This window comes from Homo sapiens, chromosome 2 (genome assembly GCF_000001405.40).
Source record: "Homo sapiens chromosome 2, GRCh38.p14 Primary Assembly".
NCBI lineage: Eukaryota > Metazoa > Chordata > Mammalia > Primates > Hominidae > Homo > Homo sapiens.
Genome location: NC_000002.12, coordinates 129191451 through 129199591, shown reverse-complemented (window position 1 = coordinate 129199591; position 8141 = coordinate 129191451). Strand labels below are relative to the sequence as shown.

General features: G+C 44.5%; 1 annotated feature.

The window, feature by feature from the left end:
* Nucleotides 6041-6968: an enhancer, noted in NCBI's record as "H3K27ac-H3K4me1 hESC enhancer chr2:129950197-129951124 (GRCh37/hg19 assembly coordinates)". NCBI's record gives its function as "activates a minimal SCP1, AML or CMV promoter by ChIP-STARR-seq in primed H9 embryonic stem cells {active_cell/tissue: H9 hESC(primed)}" and the evidence as "EXISTENCE:reporter gene assay evidence [ECO:0000049][PMID:30033119]".

The following is an 8141-nucleotide window of genomic DNA, read 5'->3' as shown; positions in this document are numbered from 1 at the left end:
TCTTTTGCTAAAATTGGCTTTTACAAGGAAGTACACAGATGGGCCTAGGAGAAGGTTTAGAAGGCTAAGTGAAGTTTGGTCAAGCAGAGAATCTTTGTTAGTTTTCCAAGAACACACTTTCAACTTTGTAGTTTCTCTCTGTTGTATGTTTTCTTTTTATATATTTAATCTAAGCTCTAGTATTTATATTTCCTTCCTTCTATCTTCATTGCATCTCCCCTTTATTACTTTTCCAAGTTTTAAATTAGAGACTTTACTGTTACTTTTTCTTCTTTTTATACTATGCAAATTTAAGGCTAAAATAACTTTTTTTAACAATATCCTACAAATGATATGATTTGATACATATTTTATATCTCTTATGTCTAAAAGTTTTCTAATTTTCATTATAATTTCCATTTGACTCATAAATTATTTAAAAGGATGTTTCTTAATTTCCTACATATAGGTTTTTTTTTTTTTGAGATGGAGTTTCGCTCTTGTTGCTCAGGCTGCAGTGCAATAGTGCTATCTCAACTCACCGCAAACTCCACCTCCTGGGTTCAAGTGATTCTCCTGCCTCAGCTTCCCGAGTAGCTGGGATTACAGGTGCCCGCCACCACACCCAGCTAATTTTGTATTTTTAGTAGAGATGGGGTTTCACCATGTTGGTCAGGCTGGTCTTGAACTCCTGACCTCAGCTGATCTGCCCGCCTTGGCCTCCCAAAGTGCTGGGATTACAGGCATGATGTATAGGTTTTTAAAGTTACTTTCATTACTCACTTCTGACTTATTTTCACTTTGATCTGAGGGAATACTTAATATGCCTAAGAGTTATTTATGTCAGAATAATGCCTTACAATAAACCTCTCCAAAACTCGGTGGCTTATAATAATATGCTTTTATTTAGCTCATGGATCTGCAGGTTAGCTGAGAAGCTTTGTTGGTCTCTAGTGGGCTTTCTCAAATTTCTGGAGGTTGTCTGGTTGTCACTTTATTTAGAATAGCCTTCATCAGGATGACTCGCCTAACTCAGCTCAAGTCCACATGGATATTATCCCCCAGCAGGTGAGGTGGGGCATGGCCTCCTGGTGATAGCAGCAAGCACAATAGCATGTGGAAAGACATCCATATAAGGTGCAACACTAGCTCAGGTCCAAACGGGGGTGAAACCGAGTTTCCCTCTTTACCAGGAGGAGCAGCAGAAGATAGAGGCAGGGGGAAGTACTGGACTAAACTTCAATCAATCGCCACAGAAAAGCTTTCAAATATTTTTGAGACTTGCCTTATAAATTAGTACGTGGTCAATTTTTTTAAAAAAGTTCCATAAGTTATTTAAAAGGATTATATATCATTTATTTGGAGGAAGTTCAAAATTCAAAAATGCCTGTTATATCAAATTGCTAAATGCTGGATGTAAAACCACTAAATTAATGCCTCCATTATCAAGCCATGTATGCACAATTTGGTACAATGTTGAATTTCCATCAATATCATACCTGTCACATATGTAAATATTACCACACTTAAATTTTAAAAGTTTTAATTTTATTCTTAAGATATGTTTAAACTACATATCTAAAATTGGTAATTTGCATGGATGTTCAATATTATTAATTGATTTATCATTTGAAAAGTTTGAGAAACATTATTCAAGGTAATTTGTTTGCTATTTAATTAATTCCTCCAATAATATTTATAATAATGTCTGCAATGTTGTAGATACCAGTGATACAGAGATGGACCAAATAATTCCTCCAAAAGTTTATAGTAAATGAGAAAAACATATGAGTTAAGAAATGATTGCAATATAAAGTGATAAGTGTTTCCACAAAGAACACAGAAAACCTAGCCTAGCCTCTGGTCAAGAAGAGCTTCTTGCATGAGGTGACATTTGAGCTCAGTCTTAAAATATAAATAGAAATTGTTAGTTTGATGGGATGAATAGGGAATAGTGTGCATTCCAAGGGAGAAGATTCATGTTTGGGAAATAGCCAATAGTTTGGCATGGCTATAGTGGAAGGTTTGCAGAATCAATTGCTTCTATGTATAGCCAGTAAAGAGAACTGATCTTTTGTTGTTTTCTAGTTTTTATTTTCAAACATGTCTCTAAGATATTTTGAATTCAAATTAGAACTCAATTTATTTTCCTTATTTGCTTCTAATTTATATAGAATCTAATTCCCAGATTTAAGGCAGTTACATAGGCACAAATGCAGAGCAACTAAAAATGAAAACCAAACACATATCAGAATCAAGGAAGATGAAGGGGTGTACAACTATAGCAGCTCAAAAGATGACAAGTTGAGGAATTACACACTAAATTTAGCTCTGAGCTTCCCAGAAACCAAGGCACAGAGGAATCCATTCTATAATTGAAAACCCATTCCACTTCTTCAGAGAAGTTACTCTTATTTTAAGGACTACATTTTTCCTACCATGCCCAGGTAATAGGGTTCAACCTGCCATAGAAGGTTGATATGATAGGTTATATGATATATGATCAAATCATATAAGTGATTTGATCAATGTTGCCCAGAGGCTGATTTTACTGAGGTGCTAAATGTTTCTGCACCCTAGTGATGGGCAGAGCTCCTCCCTACAAGGCCCCTGCCCCTGCCCTCCGGCAGCATGGCACCATTCACTTGCTCCTTCTTGGATTCCAAGACCTGGAATGAGGGACAAGTCACCAGTCATGACCACGTCTCCCCAGGTGACTTCAGCATGGAGGTGTCAATTAGGACTAATTGGTCTCATATCTAATTCTAGGACCAGCCTCTGGTCAGCACCAGCAATTCCAGTGCCATGCCCTTCCTTAGATGCCGAGCCTAGCATGAAGCATCCTTTCTCTAGACTCTGTAATCCAATCTCTTTCCTTTTATTCCCCCATCCCTGGGCATGACAGCTGCTTCCTCCAGTTATCAACCTCTGGGTGGCTGCAGCACTCCCTGCTACTTCTTCCAGCCTCCCAACACTAATTCTCTTTACCGAATCACTTTTGTTTGCTAAGCGTATGCAAGCTTCAGTTTTTATGACTGGGAAGGGAAATGCAACCCACACAGCCATCCAGCTTCTGGAGGACAGTGAGCACTTCAGCCAGAGTCTTGTATCCCACAGGCCTGGCCTGGAAGGTGTTCATGCCACCACCGTCTTCTGGGTTGAAGTCAGAGTGGCCGAGGAAGCAAATGACAAGCAGCATCTCTGGGGAGCACAGAATGGGAACAGGGAGAAATATGGTTTCCCTTCTGAGGCCACAAAGGACTAGGGAAATCCAGGCAAGGTGGGAGTAGAATAAAGGGGCTGTGGGTGGGAAACCTCTGCAGCTGGAAGCCCGGCACCTGGTAGGAGCATTTCATGAGCCAATGGGGAAGGGCGGAGTCAAGGAAGAGTATAGAACTCAAAGTCAGGCCTCCCTGATGCCAGTGTCACTGCTTCTAAACACCACGTTGCACTACACTATGCACAAGAGTGTTAAATAGCAATAGTTTTCTACATCACACAGTGTAATTCTTCAAAACCTCATATTCTGCAAAATCACACATGCAAGGTGAAAATGTATTGGATCAGACCACTGAAAACCTATGCTATTTTGTAACCAGACCCTACAAAAGATGACGGCAATCCTAATGAAAATACTAAGCGCATTTTAAAGACATGTTAACTTCCTAGGAATAAAGGAACTGCAATCAATAAGGTTTTACTTTAGAAGAATGCATGAAGGTAGTATGATAGCAGCAGGAATAAGGATAGGCCAAGGCTGGAGACATGGAGTCAAAGGCGGAAGGGAAACCTCGTGATCAGAAGATGCTGGTGCCAATGCAGTTGCTGGCTTGCAAAACACACAGAGACCAGAGATGGGAGACCCCACACATTCTTTGGTGTTAGTTTCTTAGAGCACTATAAGTATGCCAGTGACAAAGCATGTGGCCAAACTTAGCCAGGAGGAGTGGGCAGAACATCCACCTGTGGAGCGTGCATTCCCCCACAACTAGCAGCATCCACATTTCTTAAGTGCCCGGCCACTATTACTTGGTGGCACAAAACAACAAAGTGCTTGCGGCTTGGCACAGTGGCTCATGCCTGTAATCCCAGCACTCTGGGAGGCCAAGTTCGGCAGATCACCTGAGGTCAGGAGTTCGAGACCAGCCTGACCAACGTGGTAAAATCCCGTCTCTACTAAAAATACAACAAATTAGTCAGGCATGGGCTTGTGCCTGTAATCCCAGCTACTCAAGAGGCTGAGGTAGGAGAATCGTTTGAACCCGGGAGGCGGAGGGTGCAGTGAGCCGAGATTGCGCCATTGCACTCCAGCCTGGGAGACAGAGTGAGACTCCATCTCAATAAAAAAAAAAGCTAACAAACAAACAAAAAAATAAAGTGCTTGGAAAAATCACATACAAACCAAAGCAACTCCACTTTAAACTGATGTCATTATCTTATCCACGAATCATGTATGAGCTAATTTTCTTAAAGAAAGACATTCTGTAGAACAGACAGTACATAATTAGAAACTCAAGCCCTGTGATCTTCTAAGTATGTCCCATTAAAATTACACTTTCAAATAAGTGGGAGGGAGTTCATTTACTTTTGACAATTGATCTACACCTTCTCTTTGCTCACAGAATACCCTGAACACATCTTAATTGCTACCTTATAAACTTAACTCACTTAATAATAAGATTCATTCTCTTATCATTCTCCTCTATGAACTCTGAGCTTCCTGGGCACAGGAGTCACATAACATTCTTCTTGGTGTCCCCACCACCTTTTACAGGGCCAGGCAGAGAGGTGTTTGGTAAAATGTTTGTGAAATTAACACATATATAACATGACCAGCCATAACATGCTTTGTCTAAGAAAAAATTTAAAAGCAGTGTCAGGACAGGATTAGCAAATCATAAGCCCAAACCCAAATCTAAATTGACGACAAGCCGTGGGAAATGAAAAGCAAGCAATGTTCCTGGATGGCACCGACAGGTTTCCTTGATTGCAACAGTGGAGAACGATGGAACAATGTCTCTGTTGTTCAAGTGGAGACAGCGAAGCTTTCACACCTGTTACTAACCCTTCCTATCTGGATGGAAGATATGGCACCAGCCTCGGTGATGTTTTGAGGGTTTCAGTGCCAGCCTGGAAAACTACAATGCAGTCCACTGGAAAGAAAATTGATCACAGCTGTGGTGGCATTAGATTTCCAGCAAGGCACCAGTGTTGTAAACATGTACCAAAGTCATGGCATTTTCTTGTAAAAGATGCTGACCTCCCAACCCCTTTATTTATGGTCATGTCTTCCCATGATCTGGAGGTGAAATGTGAACTGGAGATAATGATAGCAAATCTATCAAAAGAATTATTTCTGAGGCCCAATATGTGAGCTAGCCATGCAGGTGCACCCAGCCAGGCCACTTACATGGAATTGCGCTCGCAGCTCAGTGATGCCCCCATGAGGCTCCAGTCCCACAACCTCATCTTTCTCCCGGCTTGTTTCACAGGCCATGACTCTGTTCTCCCTCATTTCCTCATTTCTCCAGTGAGCCATGCTCTCTCTTACCTCCAAGTTGCTACATGTGCTCTTTCCTAAGCCTAGAATTCTCTCCCCTGTGCATGCACTTTTCCTTACAACCTCCACGGTGTAAAGCTTCCTTCTGAAGGTTTTCCTTCCTCTGGACCCTATTTTTAGCCTCTTGAGCTAGATCACAGGCATTCCTCCTGCAGTGCCCCAGTGCTTTGTCTTTCTTTTCATTCCATGCTGTGTTCATTTCTAGGGCTGCCTTAAAGCACCACAGACTTGGTAGTTTAAAACAACAGAAATTTATTCTTTCATAGTTCTAGAGGCTAGAAGTCCAAGGTGTTGACAGGACATTCGTTTCTTGAAGGCTTCAGGGGAGGACCCTTCCTTGCCCCTTCCAGCTTCTGTGTTGCTGACAATCTTTGGCATTCCTCAGCTTGTAGACATATCACTCCAGTCTCTGCCTCCATCATCACATGCTACTCTCCCCCGTCCCACTCCAGCAGACCATACTCTCTACTAGGGTAAGCCTGGGGTCCACTGTATTCACTACTGGAACAAATGTGCTTACAATTCTTCGCACACTGTGAGTGCTCACTCGATACTGACTTAATAAAGTCAAAGACCCCAATCCTAAGCCAATGTTTCTGAACAGGGGGTCATTGCACAGCAGACCTCAAGATTCATAATTCAATGATTCTGATGGTGAGAAACCCTACATGGAAACCCCAAGTCCAGGAGGAGGGCAGAGGCAGAGCAACACAGGAAAATGTGGCAAAGACTAGAGCTCAGGGGAAAACTGGATCGAAATGGGTCGTCTCAAGTATTCAGTGAGGGCTTTACTCAGTAGGCATGGGCTGGCGAACGCTGCTCATTCCAGGGAAGGGTGTGCTCAGGATTGTCCCCCTTGATTGGCTCCCAGGAGATAGCCTCTCAGTCTTGCCTGATTAGAGAGCCTTTGTGTGCCTGGCACCTTGGGCTAGCAGTGAGTTTTATCAGATGGTTTGTGCCAGCAGTGTGACTAAGACAAATGCCTGCTTTTGTTTTCCTGAGGCCTTGGGCCACGCGGTTTCAGTCAGCCCTTTGTGGGGCTGGAGTCTGCATTGCTACTGTCAGGTACACAGGGGCCACACCTCATGCCTATCTGACTGACCCCCAGTAAAACTCTGGCCTCCAAGGCTCAGTGAGCTTCCCCAGCTGGGAGCATTTCACACGGGTTGTCGCACAGTGTTGCCGGGATATTGAAACTTGTCCCCACGTGACTCGGGGACCTGGATGCTTGTGCCTGGCTCTCCTGGTCTTTTCCTTTGCCCTCTGTGGATTTCAATCCATATCCTTTTGCTGGGATAAACTGTAAGCATGAGGCTAACAGCTTTTTCTGAGTCCTTGGGTCCTTTTAGTAAATTACTGGGTCTGAGGGTAGTCTTGGGAAATCTTGACAGAATGAGGGCAGCCAAGTGTGCCTAGGAGAGATGATTATGAGCACCACAATGCTGGGCACATAGTAGGTGCCCAAGATAATGGCAGTTGAATGACTGAGTGATGGGTGTGCGTCCACAGGTCACCTTTCCTGACACTGGAGATGTTTCAGGGTTTCTGTCAGACTCATCTCAAGGCCTGGGCTCAGGGACGCCCTGCTCCTGCTTTTCCCAGGCTGAGATGGGAACTCACCCCTACTACCCCCAGCCCTATGTCCTCCTCTCTGCAAAAACTCCTTCTCCTCTCCCATCCGCATGGGTGGGCGCACCATGAGAGCTTCTTGAGAGCAGGGGCATGGCGCCTCCTTCTGGGCCCAGTTAGTGCTGCATTTGGCTCCCAGAAGGGAGCCCTGGGAAGCCCCCTCTGTTTGCCCTCAGATCGATTCTTCAGCTTTCTCCTGATCAGCTCTGTATTGGGGATAGGTGGCCACTGTGGGCTGTGGGGCACTGGAGGTCATAGACCCAGAGAAAGGGAGATGCCAGGGTGTTTCAGCCATCTGCTTGTGCCAGGCAGTGCCCAGTGCTGCAGCCCTGGCTGAGCCCTATCGGTGGCTCCAGCACCCGAGGGTGATCTCCCAGGCCCCAACAACATGGCCTCCTTCCTCTGTTCCTTCAGCCTAGCAGAGAAGGCAGTTTCCTTCTCTGCCAGTCTCTAATTGTCTTGCCTCCCGAGTTGCAGGAGTTTAAGAACTCAGGGTGGTTTCTCCTCCCATTTGGGCCCTGACCACGTTAATCTCTAGGTTTGTAGGGTACCTCTGTTTTCCTGCCAGGTGGCTACAGGGAGCTGGGGAAGAGCAGGGCTGTGGTTCAGAAGCAAAACCCTGGACCATGTTGCCCAGCAGAGGGAACACGTGGCCAGTCAGAGTGAATCTCATGCTGCAGAGAATATGGACTGGTGGAGGACTTTTCCTCAATTCCTACCTCTTTAATGAGGATAGGTGCACATTCCAGGCATAAAAGAAGGCGTGGAGGTGAAAAGGCACAAGGCAGGCCTGGGGCTTGTGGCTGGGTGGGAACCACATTCCTCGGATTCCATTCCCTGTAGGGTTTCTACTTAGGTTGGCTCAAGGGATGTTTTACAACCATATTTTTATGCTCTGAAGACAAGGGCAGGTGTGCAGCCCTGTGGCAGCTCACACATGCTTTCATCAACCTGGGGGCTCGCCTGGCAGGCA